Genomic DNA, 22,840 nt, shown 5'->3' with positions numbered 1-22,840 from the left:
AAACTTACACCAAAACACATTATAATAAAATTATTTAAAAATAATAAAAAGAGAGAGAGAACTTTAAAGGCAGTAAGACAGAAGCAACCAGAAACCTTGGAGGCCAGAAGGCAGTAGGTTGATATATTCAAAATACTGAAAGAAGTACATTAGAAGAAAAAAAAAAGTCAACTGAGGATTCTGTATCTGACAAAACTGCCATTCAAAAGTGAGGGAGAAATTAAGATATTTCCAGATAAACAAAAGCCGAGGGAGCTCATTACCTCTAAACCTGCTCTGCAAGAAATACAAAAAAGGGTCCTTCAGGTTGAAATAAGAGAAGCTAGACAGTAACTTAAAGCCACTTGAAGAAATCAAATCTCCAGTAAACATAAATACATGGGCAATTATAAAAGCTACTACTATTTTCATTTTGGTTTGTACATCCTCTTTTTATTTTCTACTAGATTTAAAATACAAATTTGTTAAAATAACTTATAATGTATGCTATTGGGCACACAATGTATAAAGATGTAATCTATTACATTATAATAAAATAGTGGACGGAGCTGTTACGAGCAGAACTTCTGTAAGCTTTTGAAGTTGTTGGCATAAGTTTATATTAGATTGTTATAACTTTAGGAGACTAAATGTAATTTCCATGGTAACAAAGAATGTATCTACAGAAGCTACACAAAAGGAATTGAGAAGGGAATCAAAATGTTTCATTAAAAAATTAACTACACACAAAGGAACATAGGGACGAAAGAAATGAGGAAGAAGAGAGCATAAGATATATAAGAAACAGAGAGAAAAGTGGCAGATGTAAGCCCTTTCTTATTAATAATTAACTTTAAATAGACTACACACTCCAATCAAAAGACAGAGATTGGCAGGATGGATAAAAAATTGAAACCACCCCAACTATATGATGCCAAAAAAGAGACTCATTTTAGATCTAAAGACACAAATAGCTTGAAGGTGAAAAGATAAAGAAAGATATTCCATAGAAATAATAACTACAAAAGAGATGGACTGGCTATATTAATATCAGATAGAATTGCCTTTAAATCAAATTTACAAGAAACAAAGAATAAATTATATTTTAATAAAAGACTACAGCAAGAATATATAATTCTAAACATTTATAGATCTAATAATAAACCCTCAAAATATATATAGCAAGAAAGTGACAAAATAGAAGGGAAAAATATACAGTTCTACAATAATAACTGGAGACTTCAATACCCCACCATCAATAGATGATTGAGCAACCAGACAGAAATGAAGAAATAGAGAACTTGAACAATACAATAAACCAACCAACTACACCTAATTAATATATAAAGAACACTCCACCCAACAAGCACAGAGTACACATTCTTCTCAACTGCACATGGAACATTCTCTAGGATAAACCCTATGCTGGGTCACAAAACACATCTCAATAGATTTTAAGAGATAGCTATTATATTAACTACCTTCTCTAACCACAATGAGATAAGGTAGATGTCAATAACAGAAGGAAAACTGGAAAATTCACTATTATATGGAAATTAGATGAAATAGTCTTAAATAATCAATAGGTCAAAGAAGAAATTACAGGGGAAATTACAAAGAACTTGGAATACAAATGAAATCACAACATTCCAAAACTTATTAGATGCAGTAAAAGTAATGCTCAGAGGGAAACTTATAGTTGTAAATACGTACATTGAAAAGAAGAAAGACCTCATATCAATAACTTAATTTTACATCATAAGAAGCTAAAAAAAAGAACAAGCTAAATTCAAAGCTAGGAGATGGAAGGAAATAATAAGGATTAGAGTGAAAACAATAAAAGATACTTGAGAAACAATACAGAAAATTCATGAAAAGAAAAGTTTGTACTTAAAAAAACCAGCAAATTGTCAAAGCTTTAGCTAGACTGACAAAAATATAAAGAGAGTAAATGCAAATAATTAAAATCATAAATGAAAGTGAGAATGTTACCTTATAAAATAAAAAGAATTATAGGAAAATGCTATCACAATTGCATGTCAATTAATAAGGTAACCTAGAAGAAATGGACAAATTCCCTAAAACACACAAATTATTTAAACTAATTGAAGAATAAATAGAAAATCTCAACAGAACTGTAACAAGTAAAGAGATTTAATCAGTAATCAGAACCTCCCAGTGGGGAAAAGTTCTGGACCAGATGGCTTCACTGGTGAATTCTACCATGCATTTAAAGAGAAATAATACCAATCCTGAAATGCTTCCAAAAACTTGAAGAGAAAGGAACACTTCCAAACTCATTCTATGAGGCTATCATTACTCTGATACAAAACTCAGATAAAGTTATTGCAAGAGAACTGTAGACCTTTATTCCCTGTGAATATTTATTCAAAAATCTGCAGTAAAATATTAGAAAATCCAATCCCATCACATATTAAAAGGATTATACATCATCATCCAATGGGACTTTAGGAACACAAGGATGGTTCAAAGAAGAAAATCAATTAATGTAATAAAACAATTAATATAATAAAGGTAAAAAACACACATAAAAGCCATATGTGAGAAATTCAAAGGGGAAAGACTGGAAGTGTTCCCCTTAAGGTGAGGAACAAGACAAGGATGCCTGCCTTCATCACTACTATTTAACATTGTAATGGATATTCTGGCTGGAGCTATCAGACAAGAAAGAGAAGTAAAAGGAATCCTCTCTTCACAGACGATATGACCCTACATGTAGAAAATCTCAAATAATTCATAAGAAATCTTCTAGAGTTAATAAATAAATTCTGCAGAGTTGCAGAGTATAAGATCAACACACAAAAAAATCAGTTGTGTTTCCATACACCAACAATGAACAACTCAAAAGGAAATTTTTTAATAGGTACAGAGTTTTTGCTAAGAATGACAAAAATGTTTTGGGTATAGAAATGGTGATGGTCACACAACATTGTGAATGCATTTAATGCCACTGGATTATATGTTTATGAATAGTTACAATAATAAATATTACATTGTATGTATGTGATCATAATTTTAAAATAAGAATTTATAGAAAAATAACTACAGATATAATAATACCCACTAACTATACAGAACTATGGCCCACAAGCCTAACGTGCTGCCCAGTTTTGTATAGCCCATGAGCCAAAAATGGTTTGTATATTTTTTAGCGATTGAAAATGTAAGAGATTTATATTATTTCATGCCATGTAAAATTACATGAATTAAAACTTTCAGTGTTCATGAATAAAGCTTTATTGAAATATCCCCAAAAAGACCAGCTGAAATTGCTGAACTTGGATAATTGATTAATTGATATTGTTTCTCAGCAGGTCCTATGTAGGGAAAAGAAAGAGAGATCAGATTGTTACTGTGTTTATGTAGAAAAGGAAGACATATCAAACTCCATTTTGATCTGTTCTAAGAAAAATTGTTTCTGCTTTGAGATGCTGTTAACCTGTAACTGTAGCCCCAACCCTGTGCTCACAGAAACATGTGCTGTATTGAATCAAAGTTTAATGGATTTAGGGCTGTGCAGGATGTGCCTTGTTAACAATATGTTTGCAGGCAGTATGCTTGGTAAAAGTCATCGCCATTCTCCATTCTCGATTAACCAGGGACACCATGCACTGCAGAAGGCTGCAGGGACCTCTGCCCAAGAAAGCCTAGGTACTGTCCAAGGTTTCCCCCCACTGAGACAGACTGAGATATGGCCTCGTGGGAAAGGAAAGACCTGACAGTCCCCCAGCCCGACATCCCACCCATAAAGGGTCTGTGCTGAGGAGGAGTAGTGAAAGAGAGAGGCCTCTTTGCAGTTGAGATAAGAGGAAGGCTTCTGTCTCCTGTTCGTCCCTGGGAATGGAATGTCTAGGTGTAAAGCAGACCAATCCCATTGGTTCTATTCTGAGACAGGAGAAAACCGCCCTGTGGCTGGAGTCGAGATATGCTGGCAGCAATACTGCTCTGTTACTCTTTTCTACGCTGAGATGTTTGGGTAAAGAGAAACATAAATCTAGCCTACGTGCACATCCAGGCACAGTACCTTTCCTTGAACTTATTCATGATACCGATTCCTTTGCTCACATGTTTCCCTGCTGACCTTCTCCCCACCTGTTGCCCTGCTACACTCCCCTCGCTAAGATAGTAAAAATAATGATCAATAAATACTGAGGGAACTCAGAGTCTGGTGCCGGTGCGGGTCCTTCGTATGCTGAGCGCTGGTCCCCTCGGCCCACAGTTCTTTCTCTGTACTTTGTCTCTGTGTCTTATTTCTTTTCTCAGTCTCTCCTCCCACCTGAATCGAAATACCCACAGGTGTGGAGGGGCTGGCCCCCTTCAGTCCTAAGCGTGAGTCCCTTTCCCAGGATGAGTCAATCCCAAGGCCACAATCATCAGGCCGAGTGAGCTCTCTTTCACACAAAGGCACTTCTTTCCACACAGTTAAACAAATGTCTGTGCCTTTTGACTTTCTCATAAGCTTTAGTCGTTTCTCAAACTTGTGTGTCCTGAGTTGATATGCATTTTAGAGTTTCCATTTATTGGTGTTTGAAAACTGGTACTTTCCACTGGAGTGCTTAACCTTTATTTTGTATGATGACTGATTGAACTGATTATTCTTGTACTTGTCACACTTTCAACACTGCTTGGCTTGCTTTCAAGTTTCTGCTTCCGAAACCAGAAAGAAGTACATGTTGTTCATTCTCTAATCTGAAACTCATATGAAAGAAAAAAAAGTGCTCGTACATATAATCTTCCCTAACTTATTAAAATCAGTAACGAATTAAACATTTTGTTCACCTCTTTTTATATTCTAGCTACCTTCTCCAAACTTTATATGAATTTGCTTTTTTCAGCATAATTATTAATTCATGGCTTTTTATAGACTCCACTTTTCCAAATAACAATGTTAACACTATTTTCATTTTTAAATGTCACAGTGAGTCTAATAGGATTCCTTCAGTGAGCAGCTTTGCCCTTTCAGAATCATTGCTAGCAGCCTTCAAAACCAACCTTGCTTTCTGGACATAACACAATATTCTGATTTGTCCTTATTTTGCCTGCTTTAAGACAAAAAACAGTTATACTACAAGAAGACAAAATTCTTTTAGAGGGAAATAGATCAAACAAATTTTGGTCATTAGTGTTGCACATGAAAATAACTGGTGGGGGGTGGGTGTGGTGGCTCACGCCTGTAATCCCAGCACTTTGGGAGGCTGAGGTGGGTGGATCCTGAGGTCAGGAGTTTGAGACCAGCCTGGCCAAGATGGTGAAACCCCGTTTCTACCGAAAACACAAAAATTAGCTGGGCATGATGGCACGTGCCTGTAATCCCAGCTACTCCGGAGGCTGAGGCAGGAGAATCGCTTGAACCCGGGAGGTGGAGGTCGTGGTGAGCCAAGATCACGCCACTGCACTCTAGCCTGGGCAACAGAGCAAGACTCCATCTCAACACACAAGAAAGAACTGGTGGGGTAAAAGTACTACTGGGCTGGAAGATGTGTTTTTTATTTTTTTATTATTATTTTTATTTTTTGAGACAGAGTCTCCCTCTGTCACCAGGCTGGAGTACAGTGGCAAGATCTTGACTCAGTGCAACCTCTGCCTCCTGGGTTCAAGCGATTCTCCTGCCTCAGCCTCCCAAGTAGGTGGGGTTACAGTCACATGTCACTACACTTGGCTAATTTCTATTTTTAGTGGAGATGAGGTTTCACGTTATTGGCCAGGCTGGTCTTGAACTCCTGACCTCAACTGATCCACCCGTCTTGGCCTGCCAAAGTGCTGGGATTACAGGTGTGAGCCACCGCACCCAGCCTGGAAGATGTTATTTTGAAGATATGAGTTCACATCATTTTTCGAATTTAACATATGCTGTTTTTTAGAGTGTGAGGTGTTATGTGCCACTAATACTTTCCACTAATACTTTCTACTATGTTGATAGTTACTTGATTAAGACAGTTGTCTAAAAAAAGGTAAAATCAATGGAAGGAATCAGCAGGCAAATCTAAGAGTTACTGGGCTTAAAGATGAGGTAGAGAAAGAAAGAGAGATAGAAAGTTTATTCAAAGGGATGGCAGAGAACTTCCCAAACCCAGAGAAAGATATCAATATTCAAATACAAGAAGGTTATAGAACACCAAGGAAATTTAACCCAAATAAGAGTACTTCAGGCCATTTAATAATCGAACTTTCAAAGATCAAAGATAAAGAAAGGATCCTAAAAGCAGCAAAAGAGAGAGAGAGAGAGAGAAAAAAAACACATACAATGGAGCTCCAATACATCTGGCAGCAGACTTTTCAATAGAAACCTTACAGGCCGGGAGAGAGTGGCATGACATATTTAAAGTGCTGAAGAAAAATATCTTTTACCCTAGAATAGCATATCCAGTGAAAATATCTTTCAAACATGAAGGAAAAATAAAGACTTTCCCAGATAAACAAAAGCTGAGGGATTTCATCAATGCCAGGCCTGTCCTACAAGAAATGCTAAAGGGAGCACTTCAATCAGAAAGAAAAGGACATTAATGAGAAATAAGAAATCATCTGAATGTACAGAACTCACTGGTAACAGCAAGTACACAGGAAAACAGAGAATATTATAAGACTGTAACCGTGGTGTCTAAACTACTCTAATCCTAAGCAGATAAACTAAATGATGAACCAATCAAAATAATAACAACGTTTCAAGACATAAACAGTACAATATGATATAAATAGAAACAACAAAAAGTTTAAAAGCTGGGGTACGAGTACGAACTTAAGGTGTAAAGTTTTTATTAGTTTTATTTTTGCCAGTTTGTTTGTTTATACAAACACTGTTGTTATCAGCCTAATAGAACCAGAATAACCCAAGCTATCCTAAGCAAAAAATACAAAACTGGAGGAATCACATTACCTGACCTCAAATATTTTTTAAATTATACTTTCAGGTTTGATATATAGGTATACATGTGCCAAGCTGGTTTGCTGTGCCCATCAACTCATCATTTACATTAGGTATTTCTCCTAATGCTATCCCCCCGCCAGCCCCCCACCCACTGACAGGCCCAGGTGTGTGATGCTCCCCACCCTGTGTCCAAGTGATCTCATTGTTCAATTCTCACCTATGAGTGAGAACATGCGGTGTTTGGTTTTCTGTACTTGTGATAGTTGGCTGAGAATGATGGTTTCCAGCTTCATCCATGTCCCTGCAAAGGATGTGAACTCATCATTTTTTATGGCTACATAGTATTCCATGGTGTATATGTGCCACATTTTCTTAATCCAGTCTATCATTGATGGACATTTGGGTTGGTTCCAAGTCTTTGCTATTGTGGATAGTGCTGCAATAAACATACATGTGCATGTGTCTTTATAGTAGCATGATTTATAATCCTTTGGGTATATACCCAGTAATGGGATGGCTGGGTCAAATGGAAATTCTAGTTCTAGATCCTTGAGGAATCACCACACTGTCTTCCACAATGGTTGAACTAATTTACACTCCCACCAACAGTGTAAAAGCATTCCTATTTCTCCACATCCTCTCCAGCATCTGTTGTTGCCTGACTTTTTAATGATTGCCATTCTAACTGGTGTGAGATGGTATCTCATTGTGGTCTTGATTTGCATTTCTCTAATGACCAGTAATGATGAGCATTTTTTCATGTGTCTGTTGGCTGCATAGATGTCTTCTTTTGAGAACTGTCCATTCATATCCTTTGTCCACTTTTTGACAGGTTTTTTAATTTCTTGTAAATTTGTTTGAGTTCTTTGTAGATTCTGGATATTAGCCCTTTGTCAGATGGGTAGATTGCAAAAATTTTCTCCCATTCTGTAGGTTGCCTGTTCACTCTGATGGTAGTTTCTTTTGCTGTGCAGAAGCTCTTTAGTTTAATTAGATCCCATTTGTCTAGTTTGGCTTTTGTTGCCATTGCTTGTGTTGTTTTGGTCATGAAGTCCTCGCCCATGCCTATGTCCTGAATGGTATTGCCTAGGTTTTCTTCTAGGGTTTTTATGCTTTTAGGTCTAACATTTAAGTCTTTAATCCATCTTGAATTAATTTTTGTATAAGGTATAAGGAAAGGATCCAGTTTCAGCTTTCTACATATGGATAGCCAGGTTTCCCAGCACCATTTATTAAATAGGGAATCCTTTCCCCACTTCTTGTTTTTGTCAGGTTTCTCAAAGATCAGATGATTGTAGATGTGTGGTGTTATTTCTGAGGCCTCTGTTCTGTTCCATTGGTCTATATATCTGTTTTGGTACCAGTACCATGCTGTTTTGGTTACTGTAGCCTTGTACCTGACCTCAAATTTTACTACAGAGCTATAGTAATCAAAACAGCAGGGTATTGTCATAAAAACAGACACATATATCAATGGAACAGAACAGAGAACCCAGAAACAAATCTACACACCTACAGTGCACTCATTTTTAACAAGGTGCCAAGAACATACACTAGGGAAAAGACAATCTCTTCGATAAATAGTGCTGGGAAAACTGGATATCTATATGCAGAAGAATGAAACTAGACCCCTATCTCTTGCCATATGCAAAAAAATCAAATCAAAATGGGTTAAAAGTTTAAATCTAAGATCTCAAACTACGAAACTACTACAAGAAAACATTGGAGAAATCTTCAGGACATTGGTCTGGGCAAAAATTTCTTGACTAATACCCTATAAGCATAGGCAACCAAAGCAAAAACGGACAAACGGAATCATAAGTTACAAAGCTCTGCACAGAAAAGGAAACAATTAACAAAGTGAAGCGAAAACCCCCACAGAATGGGAGACAATATTTGCAAACTCTTCATCTGACAAGGTATTAATAACCAAAATACATCGGGAGCTCAAACAACTCTATAGGAAAAAAATGTAATAATCCAATTTAAAAAATGGTCAAAAGATTTGAATAGATTTTTTTTAATCTGTCATTATTTCCAGCTTTATCTTATAAAGTTTGTTTATTTTTCTTAGTTTTTTTTTATTATATTTTAAGTTTTAGGGTACATGTGCACAACCTGCAGGTTAGTTACATATGTATACATGTGTCATGTTGGTGTGCTGCACCCATTTACTCGTCATTTAACATTAGGTATATCTCCTAATGCTATCCCTCCCCTCTTCCCCCACCCCACAACAGGCCCCGGTGTGTGATGTTCCCTTTCCTGTGTCCATGTGTTCTCATTGTTCAATTCCCACCTATGAGTGAGAACATGCGGTGTTTGGTTTTTTGTCCTTGTGATAGTTTGCTGAGAATGATGGTTTCCAGCTTCACCCATGTCCCTACTAAGGACATGAACTCATCATTTTTTATGGCTGCATAGTATTCCATGGTGTATACGTGCCACATTTTCTTAATCCAGTCTATCATTGTTGGACATTTGGGTTGGTTCCAAGTCTTTGCTATTCTGAATAGTGCCGCAATAAACATACGTGCGCATGTGTCTTTACAGCAGCATGTTTTATAATCCTTTGGGTATTTACCCAGTAATGGGATTGCTGGGTCAAATGGTATTTCTAGTTCAAGATCCCTGAGGAATCGCCACACTGTCTTCCACAATGGTTGAACTAGTTTACAGTCCCACCAACAGTGTAAAAGTGTTCCTATTTCTCCACATCCTCTCCAGCACCTGTTTTTTCCTGACTTTTTAATGATCGCCATTTTAACTGGTGTGAGATGGTATCTCATTGTGGTTTTGATTTGCATTTCTCTGATGGCCAGTGATGATGAGCATTTTTTCATGTGTCTTTTGGCTGCATAAATGTCTTCTTTTGAGAAGTGTCTGTTCATATCCTTCGCCCACTTTTTGATGGAGTTGTTCGTTTTTTTCTTGTAAATTTGTTGGAGTTCATTGTAGATTCTGGATATTAACCCTTTGTCAGATGAGCAGATTGCAAAAATTTTCTCCCATTCTGTAGGTTGCCTGTTCAATCTGATAGTAGTTTTTTTTTTGCTGTGCAGAAGCTCTTTAGTTTAATTAGATCCCATTTGTCAATTTTGGCTTTTGTTGCCATTGTTTTTGGTGTTTTAGACATGAAGTCCTTGCCCATGCCTATGTCCTGAATGGTATTGCCTAGGTTTTCTTCTAGGGTTTTTATGGTTTCAGGTCTAATATTTAAGTCTTTAATCCATCTTGAATTAATTTTTGTATAAGGTGTAAGGAAGGGATCCAGTTTCAGCTTTCTACATATGGCTAGCCAGTTTTCCCAGCACCATTTATTAAATAGGGAATCCTTTCTCCATTTCTTGTTTTTGTCAGGTTTGTCAAAGATCAGATAGTTGTAGATATGCAGCATTATTTCTGAGGGCTCTGTTCTGTTCCATTGGTCTATATCGCTGTTTTGGTACCAGTACCATGCTGTTTTGGTTACTGTAGCCTTGTAGTATAGTTTGAAGTCAGGTAGCATGATGCCAATATCCCTGATGAACATCAATGCAAAAATCCTCAATAAAATATGAATCCAGCAGCACATCAAAAAACTTATTCACCATGATCAAGTGGGCTTCATCCCTGGGATGCAAGGTTGGTTCAACATGTGCAAATCAACAAACATAATCCAGCATATAAACAGAACCAATGACAAAAACCACATGATTATCTCAATAGATACAGAAAAGACCTCTGACAAAATTCAACAATGCTTCATGCTAAAAACTCTCCATAAATTAGGTATTGATGGGATGTATCTCAAAATAATAAGAGCTATCTATGACAAACCCACAGCCATTATCATACTGAATGGGCAAAAAACTGGAAGCATTCCCTTTGAAAACTGGCACAAGACAGGGATGCCCTCTCTCACCACTCCTATTCAACATAGTGTTGGAAGTTCTGGCCAGGGCAATCAGGCAGGAGAAGGAAATAAAGGGTATTCAATTAGGAAAAGAGGAAGTCAAATTGTCCCTGTTTGCAGATGACATGATTGTACATCTAGAAAACCCCATCGTCTCAGCCCCAAATCTCCTTAAGCTGACAGGCAACTTCAGCAAAGTCTCAGGATACAAAATCAATGTACAAAAATCACAAGCATTCTTATACAACAATAACAGACAAACAGAGAACCAAATCATGAGTGAACTCCCATTCACAATTGCTTCAAAGAGAATAAAATACCTGGGAATCCAACTTACAAGGGACGTGAAGGACTTCTTCAAGGAGAACTACAAACCACTGCTCAATGAAATAAAAGAGGATACAAACAAATGGAAGAACATTCCATGCTCATGGGTAGGAAGAATCAATATCGTGAAAATGGCCATACTGCCTAAGGTATAGATGCAATGCCATCCCCATCAAGCTACCAATGCCTTTCTTCACAGAATTGGAAAAAACTACTTTAAAGTTCATATGGAACCAAAAAAGAGCCCTCATTGCCAAGTCAATCCTAAGCCAATAGATGTTTCTTAAAACAAGACATACCCATGCCAAACAGATATACGAAAAGGTGCTCAGCATCACTGATCAGCAGAGAAATGCAAATCAAAACTACAATGAGATATTATCTCAACCTAGTTAAAATGGCTTATATCCAAAAGGCAAGCAATAGCAAATGCTGGAGAGGATGTGGAGAAAAAGGGAAGCCTCGTACACTGTGGTGAAAATGTAAATTAGTACAACCACTATGGAGAACAGTTTGGAGGTTCATCAAAAAACGGAGAAGAGAGCTATCATATGATTCATCAACCCCACTGCTGGGTATGTACCCAAAAGAAAAGAAATCAGTATACAGAAGAAATATCTGCACTCCTGTATTTGTTGCAGCACCGTTGACAATAGCTAAGATTTGGAAGCAACCTAAGTGTCCATCAACAGATGAATTGATAAAGAAAATATGGTGCATATACACAGTGGAGTATTATTCAACCATAAAAAAGAGTGAGATCCTGTCATTTGCAAGAACATGGATGGAACTGGAGATCATTATGTTAAGTGAAGTATGCCACGGACATAAAGACAAACATCACATATTCTCACTTATTTTTGGAATCTAAAAATCTAAACAATTGAACTCATGGACATAGAGAGTGGAAGGATGGTTACCAGACGCTGGGAAGTGTAGCTGGGGAGGGGGGTTGGAGGGGAGGGAAGTGGAGGTGGTTAATGGGTACAAAAAAAGTAGAAAGAATAAATAAGACCTAAATATTTGATAGCACAACAGGGTGACTATAGTCAATAATAACTTCATTGTACATTTTTAAATAATTAAAAGAGTACAATTGGATTGTTTTAACACAAATGATAAATGCTTGAAGGAATGGATACCCCATTCTACATGATGTGATTATTACACATTGCATGCCTGTATCAAAACATCTCATGTACAACATAAATATATATACCTACTATGTACCCACAAAAATTTTTAAAAAATTAAATAGTGGAATCGAATCAAGTCTTTAAATCCAATATCTATTTACAGAAAGAGATAGAGAAACCAACTAACGCCACAAAAGAAATGATAAGACAAATCCAGAATGCACGATATTAGAATATCCTCTCCAGACAGCCAAGACAGCTGGCCCAGTTCTTCCAGCACACAAAATGCATGCGTGTGTGTGTGCGTGTATGTGTGTGTGTGTGTGTGTGTGTGTGTGTCTATGTGTGATGGGTCTTCCACCAGGTTACTTAAGGGTGAATGTCTGCTGCTTAAACCTTGAAGGCCAGGTGGTGAGCCAAGGTCATGGTGTCCAGCTGAGGAGCAGGTGTTCCTGAGAACCCAAACATCCCCAAAAGGATCTGAGAACCTACCAAGAGAAACAGCCCCATCACAGCCACACAGCAGGCAAAGTGCCAGAAAATTAGCTTAAAAGCAGCTTAGAGACAGGAGGAGGCGCAGATCTCTGGAGCTGTTCTGCCACTATCCAGGAGTGCCCCACGTAAAGTCTTAATAAACTCATCTACTCACCAAGCTAGACTTGTTACAGTCATTCTTTGGCCTCTCAGTTCCCTCCCAGTTTGGGGGAAGGTTTTTCTCATCACAATTGGAATCATGAACAGGATCCTAGATACCAAATGATGTGTGAGGGAGGGGCGTCTGCAGGGGGAATACTGGGGTGGCCGGTAACATGTATGTGGGGTGAAGCTGCCCAACTGCTGAAGCTATGTGGGCCATCACATGAGTACCAGGATGCTCAGAAAACAGACAAGGCCTGAGCACATATTGCAAGAAGCTAATATATTAAAAGTATGATAAGGAGAGCAAACGTGCTGTTTCTGCAAAAATGCTGGCTACTGAGGAATCATTAGAGCAGGAAAGGAAGAAAGGGTAGGAACACCCGCAGAAGTTCAGAGGCATGCCAGGTTTGCTAGGAATCCAGCTGATTACATATTATGGTCTATTCCTGTGCATATTTTAAAACTGATGGGCAAATTGAAAATAAAAATTCAGAGCTTAAATGGTTAACCCGTAACTACAGAGTTAATGAGAGTCTTCTGTAACTATTTATCCTTTATTTCCTTTCCTGCCTGCTTTGTATCTGCTGTTATTAAGCTACTGGTGTTGAGATAAAACTTACTATTTGTATTAATGTCAATTCAAGGTCACTTAGTGATTTGTCTGGTACAATAAGCCTTTAGTTAGACTTATCAAGCAAAAAATAGACAAGATGCAAATTATTAAAATAAAAAATGAAAGAGGAGACATTGCAATCTCTTTAAAGATAACTCAGATGAAATGACAAATTCCTAGAACAATATAAAATACTAACACTGAAAAAATGGATAATATAAACAGTTCTATAACAAGTAAAGTGATGTAAATACTAATATATATTTTTATAAATTCACAAAGAAAAGCCCAGATACAGTTGGCATCATGGATGAGTTCTACCAAACATTTAAAAATTAACACTAACTTTCTCAAACTCTTCCAAAAATAGAGGAGGAAAGAACACTTTTAAGGACTCACTTTTAGAGACCAGTATTACCAGATACCAAAGCCAGACAGACATCACAAGAAAAAAAATTACAGAACAAAATCCCTTATGAATACAGCTATAAAAATATAAATAAAATGCCAGCAAATTGAACCCAGTAGCACATAAAAGCATTATATACCATGACCAAGTGAAGCTTATTCCAGGAATGCAATATTGTTTGAACATACAAAAATCAATCAATATAATACATTGTATTAATAGAATGAAGAACAAAACTACATGATCATCTCAACAAATTCAGAAAAAGCATTTTAAAAACTCCAACATCCTTTCATGATTTTAAAAAAACACTCAAAAAACTAGGAATAAAAGAGATTTTATTTTATAAAGAGCAACTATTAAAAAAAAACCCAAACTTCATACTTATTGGTAAAAGACTGAACGCTTTCCTGCTAAGATAAGGAACAACATAAGAATGTCTATTCTTGCCACTGCTATTAAGCATTGTACTGGAGGTTCTAGCTAGGAAAATTAGGCAAGGGAAGAAAAGCATCCAGATTGGAAAATATTTTAGATTTAGAGCTGCCATAACCTATTACTCACAAATTGGATGGTTTAGAACAACAAAAGAGGATTGTATTCTCTTCCAGTTCTGGAGACTTGAGTCAAAAATCCAGTTGTTTATAGGGCCATGCTCCCCATGAAAGCTCTCGGGAAGATGGTTCCCTTGCCTTTGACTAGCTTTTGGTGGCTCCCAGTAGCAGTTGGCATGCCTTGGCTTATAGTTGAATCACTTCAATCTCTGCCTTCATGGTTACATGGCTTTCTTTTCTGTGTGTATTTGTATTCTCTCTTCTTATTCTAAAGACTTTAGTCATTGACTTTAGAACCCACCTTAATTCATTATGATCTCATATTAACTAATTATATCTGTAAAAACTTTATTTCCATAAAAGGTCATATTCTGAAGTTCTGGGTAAACATGAATTTTAGAGGGACACCAGCCAAGCCATTATAAAAAAGAAATAAAACTATTTCTACCTGCAGATTACATAATCATGCCTGTAGAAAATCTTATGGGCTAGTCGCATTGGCTCACACCTGTGATCTCAATATTTAGGGAGGCTGAGGTAGGAGGACTGCTTGAGACCAAGTGTTTGAGACCAGCCTTGTCAACATAGTGAGGCCCCATTTCTATTCTCATAAAAAAGAAAAAAGAAAATCTTAAGGAATCTACTAGAATACTATTAGAGCTGATAAACAAGTTCAGACAAGTTGTGGGATACAAGATCAATATAGATACAAGATACAAGATCAATATAGAGGTCACGCGACAGGGTGAGACTTCATCTCAAAAGAAAAAAAGGTTGTTATAAAAATAGTCATTGTATTTTCTTTTCTCTACAGATTTCCCTTAATAAAGGGAAAAAAACCCTCTGCTTTGCAGGAAAAGTAAAAGAAGATGAGTTTTAACAGACTCCTTTCTGTAAAACTGAATGATGGAAAGTTCATGCCTATTCTGGGGTTTGGCACCTCTGTTGCTAGGAAGGTAACCATAATGGCATTGGGGATGGAGGAGTAGCAGGTGGTTCCTGATCAGAATTAGTCACTATGTGAGTTTGGGAAATTCAGGTGGGCCTCACTTTTCTCATTTTAAGACACTTCTCACCAAGTTAGCCCTTGGTGAGAAGTTAGCCCTTACTCACCACTTTGTGGATTAAGTAAAGGCTTTTCACGTTTTAGTAGTGATATAAACACTTCAGGATCTTGTTAAAAATGCAGATTTGGAGGCTCTATCCCTGAAGGTTCTGATTGAGTAGATCTTGGATGAGGCTGTAAAATTCACATTTATAATAAGCTCCCAAGCAATTTTGATGCTGCTTGTCCAAAACCACGCTTGGAGTGGCAGTCCGTCAAGAGAGATGGAAGTGTGCAAGCAATTGCTCAGAATTCAGGGGTGGGTAAGTCTGTGGCTGTTACTCTCTCTTGTTGTACAGTTGTAGCCATTTTCACAGTATATTAGAGGAAATAAAACACTATTGACATGATTACCATGTGCCAGAAACTTCACAGCAAACTTTAAAGTTGTGCTGTAATTTTTAGTACCCAAGTCCTCCCTGTTCACCACCAATAAGAGTATCTAGAGAAAGTTGTGTGGCAAAGGAACTTGGGGAAAGAGAGGCAGGCTTAGAGGTAGCTGTGTGGTCTAAGGTGGCCACGGTCTCTGAGAAGCCAGGTTGGTAAGACGGTGCCATCAAAGAGTTATGTAGTACTTGGAAAATTCTCTTCTCTTTGGCTCCATGCATGTTTCTGGATCAAACACTCCAGACCTACAAGGGCACATCTCAGTGGTTCCTGGTGAAGAATGTTATAAAAGTTGTAGGATTGTTTCCCAACACAAAAGAAACATGGTGTGTACCATTGAGGACTGCAAAGAAGACTCTCATGAAGTATTGCTTTTGCCATGCCTTGGCTCTTTAACCTGGGGATAGTTTATCTTTACGGACTCAGTTGACTCAACGGTAGATAGAAATGAAACAAATATACCCAAAAGGCATTATAATTACTGAGTGAGGTGTAGGGGGTGCTAATATAAACAGAAAAATTATGGATGACTTAAAGAGTCCAGGCTGGTGGGCCAGGAGAATAAAAAAATATAAGAAAGATGTGAAGGAGAAAGTGATGCCTAAGAACCAGCAAAGCAACCAAAAGAAGAATTAATTATGAGTTTTTTTAAGTGAAAAAAGTTTTTCTTTTAAAATAATTTTTTATTTTAAAAATAAAATAATTTATTTTAAAATATTTTAAAAGAAAATAGCTTATTTTATTTTAAAAGCTATTTCTTTAAAAATTTTCTTTTAAAATGATTTTTTAAAATGATTCCTATTTTTGTTCTTCCTCAAATGTTCTTTGTTTTTCCAAGTTTAGATAGGTAAATTAATAATTTATTGTGTCTAAAGTTATATCTTTATGCAGATAGATAATTATTAGCATTAAATTATTGGATCAAAACCAATTTCATAATCTCTTATAGAGCAAATTAAGTTAGGAATGTAAATCTATAGATTGTGCAAATCTATAGATCATATACATTCTATAAATACATAAATAGAGGTTTAAAGACTGTGACGTGCTCATGAGGACTCAAAAGAGTGTATTGTGAGCATCTTTGCCCAATTTGGCAAGCTTGAACTTATCCATGGTGGGAGTATTTACACTATTGAAACTGGCAAATACTACAAACCAGGACTTCCTCAGAGCTAGCTGTTAAACATTTACCATTGATTTTTACTCAACATTTAGCTTTGCCACCTGTAGCTCTTAGCCCTTAGTAGGGAAAAAAAAGGTTCTTTTGAATATCTCTGCTAAGAGAATTGATCATCTGTTCCTGAGTCAAACAAATCTTTATCTCTTTATGCTCTTCCAGGTTGCTATGAGTAATGTAGAAGAAGCCGTCCAGGTAGCAATTGATGTAGGCTACCGCCATATTGACTCAGCTTATACACACCTGAATGAAGAAGGCATCGGGCAGGCCATCCGAAAGAAGATTGCCAACGGCACTGTGAAGAGAAAAGATATATTCTATACCACAAAGGTGCTGTGTACCAATGCATCTGTTTCTGTGGAGAGCTCACTCTTAGCTGTAGAGCTCCTTGGCAAATTTCTCTTCATTAGTTTAATCTTCATTTACTCAGACCTTGCCTCATGAGAAGTCTGGTTAGGAATGTGGATTCTGTAATGGGACTTTAATATTTGAATCCAGGCTCTGCCACTTTCTAAATGTGTGACCTTCCCTAGTCTATAGCAAGTGTAAAAATAAATGAATATGTGCGACCTTGGACAAGCTACTAAAATACTATCCTTCAGTTTCCCAAGTTGTAAAATGGAGACAGTATTATTTATCTCACAGGATTTTCATGAGTGTTACACTTTTAAAAATACATATAAATCTTGCTGAAAAGTATTTGATACATTTCAGATGCTCAAAAATGCTGTTATTATTATCATATGTTTTAACTCAGAAATGATTTGACCCTTCCTACTCTACTATAGTCAAGTTTTGACAAACTGACTTAATCTTTCTTAGCTAAAGTATGAGGTAATGTGATTTAGTCAGAAAGTGTAGGCTTTGGAAACAGATGAACTAGGATCAAATTTTAGTTCTTGAATATTCCATTTGACTTGGTGAAATTTCTTAACCAAAAAACAAGTTTTTTAAACTCTCTAAGCCTTCATCGTGACATCTCAACCTATTTTGTGGTCAATAAATGTTTATTTCTCTGAAGATTAAGTTAATGTTTGTAAATGTACTTATGTATTTTTTAAACCCTTGAGCCATTTTCTTCTATTAATAATATTCTTCATATTCACTAGCGTCATATCTAAAACAAGTAAAAGAACTTAGGTGTTTAAGTCAGATAGGAAAAGGAACCCCAAAGCAATTTTTACCCTAGTGTTCACTGAACTGACTACTGCTAGAAAAAACAAAAAACAAAACAAAACAGAAAACATTTAAACGTGACGGGAAGTAGTCCACAGAGACAGCACTTAGGCCCATGCAAGTGAATCCCATGCAAGTTGATAAAAAAGTTTCCTCCTTCCAGCCCAGCATGTGACATTTGACTGCCTTTAGCTGTGCAGTAGCCTTCTCAGTCTCATCTTTTAACTCTCTTTTCGTACTAAATGTGTGACCCTTTGTACAAAACATCGTACGAAACATTGGTTTCCTTAGTTTTAGTCATTTTGATGATTTCTTCCCCTAGATTACTGCTGCTTAGAATGAGGTAACAGAAGCACCCCAAAAAGATTTCCCCTATGGCCATTCTTTGGGAAACCTAACCATTTAATACAGTCAAGCCAGAGCCTACTGAATCACCATCACTTCGGGCTCTTGTCTGGCAGGCAATTTCCCAGTCCACTCTCCAGATGTTGTGATTTATTACGTTTGGAGTAGAACCCAGGAATACGTTTTGCACAAGCAAATCAGATTATTCTTTTACATTCTAAAGTTTGAGAATCTCTGCTGAAACTCGTATTTTTTTCCTACATTTATCATCTTCATTCCATATGAAAATCTGCTATGATGATTAAGAACTTATGCATTCACTGGAAGTAACTTGTCACTTCTCTAAGAGGGTTTGGCTGCTGATGTTTATTTGCCATTTCACTAAGCTCTCTCGAAGACTTTTGAAGAAATAATCTCACACAACTTCTCTTTCAACCATTGCAGGTGTGGGGCACCTTTTCCCGCCCAGAATTGGTCCAAAGAGGCCTTGAAATGTCACTGAAGAAACTTCAGCTGAGCTACATGGATCTTTACCTTTTTCATTTCCCAGTACCTTTGCAGGTTAGCTCAAGTTGTTTTACTTTAGTGATCAACATAAATATTAGTAACTGAACGCAAGAGAGGAATCAGTTTGTGAGGATGAGAAGATAAATAATACTTTAAGATTCTCTCTTGTGCTTTTTATTTTTATTTTTCTGAAACTATTCCAAAGTCAGTTCACAACTCTAGCCCCAGAGTGACAGGAGTTCACTGGTATCCACAGCTTTGCCTCAGTGTTGTGGATGTACTGCCGACATTTTCAAGTTCTTATACCCTGGAGTCTCAAACCCATGTCGCTGACAGTGGAGTTCAGTTGACGAACAGGAAGTTCGGTGAGGACGACACTCAGCTTTGAATGCTGATAAGTCACTGGCAAGGGAGAGAGCTCTTTGCAAGGATCCAGGACCAGGGGACCTGCTGGGCATCATACCACCCTAGAGTCTGCCTAGGATGGGATCCTAGGTGCCTCAGCTTAGCCTTGACACAGACAAGATTTATTGAATCTGTAACGCTCGAAAGCATTTCTAGGACGCATATTTCCTGCATGTACTTCCTTTGCCGTTAGCCTAATTTTACAATTCTGTTCAAGAATAAGGACAGATGGTTCTATCAGTCTCAAGGTTTATGGGCCCCAAGCTTGGCTGAGGCCAGACAGAGCTTTGTGCAAACTCTCTTTCTTTCCATGTTCCAGCCTGGGAGGAGCTTTTGCTGACGGATGCACAGGGAAAGATCATGTTTGACACAGTGGGTCTCTGCAGCACATGGGAGGTGAGTGCAGCTCCAGTGAGCACAACATCTCTGCACCTTGTGGGGGAGAGGAAAAATGTACAAGGAATTCAGGAAACTGGACCTGGTCTAATTCTGCCCAGTGTTCAGACTGGGGAGAGTCCCGAATGTCTCTCTGCCTCTGTTTTCACATTTCATTCACTTAATCATCCAGCAAGTATGCATTGAGTGCCTACAGCGTATCAAGTTCTACTCTTCTTACCCAGGCAACATCAGTGAAGAGAACCAGGGTGCTGGCCCAGGCATGGATAGGTGCTGTGGTGGGTGGAGGTGAGAAATAAAGCTGAGCGCTGGAGTTGGTTTGGGGCACAGACTGGCAATGAAAAACAGAGTGGCAGGGTAGGCCTTTTTGAAAGCAGAGGCGGGTGAATCACGATATCAGGAGATCGAGACCATCCTGGCCAACATGGTGAAACCCCATCTCTACTAAAAATACAAAAATTAGCTGGGTGTGGTGGCGCACGCCTGTAATCGGGAAGCTGAGGCACGAGAATTGCTTGAACCCAGGAGGCGAAGGTTGCAGTGAGCAGAGATCGTGCCGCTGCACTCCAGCCTGGTGACAGAGTGAGACTTCATCTCAAAAAAAAAAAGAGTGACATTTGAGCAAAGACTTGTAGTAGACGCAGGAACTGATTGTGTGGGTATCTGGGGAGAGTGATGCACGCAGAAAGACAAGGCAAAGTTTTTCTTTTGTTTTTATTGTTTTAGATGGAGTCTCACTCTGTCACCCGGGCTGGAGTACAATGGTGTGATCTTGGCTCACTACAAGGTCTGCCTCCTGGGTTCATGCAATTCTCCTGCCCTCAGGCTCCTGAGTAGCTGGGGTTATAGGCACGTGTCACCACGCCCAGCTAATTTTTGTATTTTTGGTAGAGATAGGGTTTCACCATGTTGGCCAGGCTGGTCTAGAACCCCTGACCTCAGGTGATCCACCCGCCTCAGCCTCCCAAAGTGCTAGGATTACAGGTGTAAGCCACCATGCCAGGTCACAGCAACGTTTTTAAGAGGGGAGAGACACTAGCATGTCCAAGAACAGCAAGAGGACATGTGAGACTGGACACTGTGAGTGAGTGGACAGTGCAGGGAATTAGGTCAGAAAGTAGAAGCTGGTGGTTTTGTAGGTGGAAGGCCTGCCTCTCAGGCCACACCTGCTACACTTCCTTGTTGGTACTTGTTTTGCCATTGCTCCATCAAACTTTTCTAGGTATTCACTAAAGACCATGCTGGTTTCTTTAACTCTGTCCTGGCCACTCACATTCTTTTTTTCTTTTTTTTTTTTTTTTTGAGACAGAGTCTAGCTCTGTCGCCCAGGCTGGAGTGCAGTGCGACAATCTTGGGTCACTGCAACCTCCACCTTCCGGGTTCAAGAGATTCTCCTGCCTCAGCCTCCTGAGTAGCTGGGATTACAGGTGCCCGCCACCACACCCAGCTAATTTTTGTATTTTTAGTAAGGAGGGGGTGTCACTGCGTTGGCAAGGCTGGTCTCGAACTCCTGACCTCGTGATCCACCTGCCTCTGCCTCTCAAAGTGCTGGGATTATAGGCATGAGCCACCGTGCCCGGCCTCACATTCTTTTTTTATTTCATTTTTGTGCCCATTTATTTTACCTGTTTACTTTTCGTTTTTCTCTTACTCAGTCCATTCATGCCTTATTGATTGACATCTGCACTTTGCAAGGCTGTGTCTCTCCCACTGTCTTATACACTCTCCCACCCTTCGCCTACTCCTAGCGTGTGTACGTTTATTATTTGCCTCTAGCCTGCTATACAGATTACTCCTCACAACACCTTCCTCTCCAGGCCCTGGAGAAGTGTAAGGATGCAGGATTGGCCAAGTCCATCAGGGTGTCCAACTTCAACCGCAGGCAACTGGAAATGATCCTCAACAAGCCAGGGCTCAAGCACAAGCCTGTCTGCAACCAGATGAGCCCCAAACATCTGCCGCACCAACTGCTTCCTCTGCTCTTTGGCTTCCTCTATTCTCGATTTGACAAGGCTACTTATGACATGCTTCTCACATGTATTTTACCTTTGAACATCAGATGCTTCAAGGGAAGAGAACACATTCTGAGTTGTTGAAAACAGTGCATGAGGCCATGTCACTTTATCAAAAAAATCTAAGGTTTTTTTTTAAATACTAAGAGTATAATCTATTAGGTGTTATAGTAGTTTGTTCTAGAAGTTAGAGCTAGTGAATGACTGACAGCCACTTTTTCTTTTTTGACAGAGTTTTACTCCTGTTGCCAAGGCTGGAGTACAGTGGCACGATCTCGGCTCACTGCAACCTCCGCCTCCCAGGTTCAAGCATGTACCTCTGCCTCCCACATGGCTGGGAATACAGGTACCCGCCACCACGCCCAGCTAATTTTTTGTATTTTTAGTAGAGACAGGGTTTCAACATGTTGGCCAGGCTGGTCTCGATCACCTGACCTCAGGTGATCCACCCGCTTCGGCCTACCAAAGTGCTGAGATTACAGACATGAGCCACTGCGCCCGGCAGACAACCACTTCTTATAACAGAAAAGTTCAGCAAATTTGGAAAACAATTTCAAATCAATTTGTATGTAAAAGAAAATGAATGATTCATTTTTATGTCTGACAACTCCTTTAAGGGCTGTGCCATGAAATAACCATTGAGCCTCTCCAAAATACAAAATCTCTCCCAAACTTATAAAAGGGACTGTTTGGATTCAGACTAGTCTTTTAAAAACAGTCACTTTTCATAAGTTTGGGAGAAATTTGGATTACGTGAGGTTGCCTAACAATGTGAATGCACTGAATGTCACTAAACTAGGCACTTAAAAATCATTGAAATGATAAAGTTTAAGCATGAGATCATCAAAATCAGTTGTGTTGACCTCCTGATTGTGGTGGCTGTGATTAT

General features: G+C 38.4%; 1 pseudogene across 1 annotated transcript in view; it reads left to right on the top strand.

Moving 5' to 3' along the window:
- Window positions 1-22,840, top strand: part of AKR1C6P (aldo-keto reductase family 1 member C6, pseudogene) — a 44,607-nt pseudogene that overhangs the window by 8,997 nt on the left and 12,770 nt on the right. The window contains exons 3-7 of the transcript NR_026743.1: window positions 15,253-15,394; window positions 17,273-17,440; window positions 19,076-19,192; window positions 19,863-19,939; window positions 22,184-22,297. The product of NR_026743.1 is annotated as an aldo-keto reductase family 1 member C6, pseudogene (transcript). The remainder of the gene's footprint in view (window positions 1-15,252; window positions 15,395-17,272; window positions 17,441-19,075; window positions 19,193-19,862; window positions 19,940-22,183; window positions 22,298-22,840) is intronic.

The sequence above is a fragment of the Homo sapiens genome, chromosome 10 (assembly GCF_000001405.40).
Source record: "Homo sapiens chromosome 10, GRCh38.p14 Primary Assembly".
NCBI lineage: Eukaryota > Metazoa > Chordata > Mammalia > Primates > Hominidae > Homo > Homo sapiens.
This window is presented reverse-complemented; position numbering and strand designations above follow the sequence as displayed.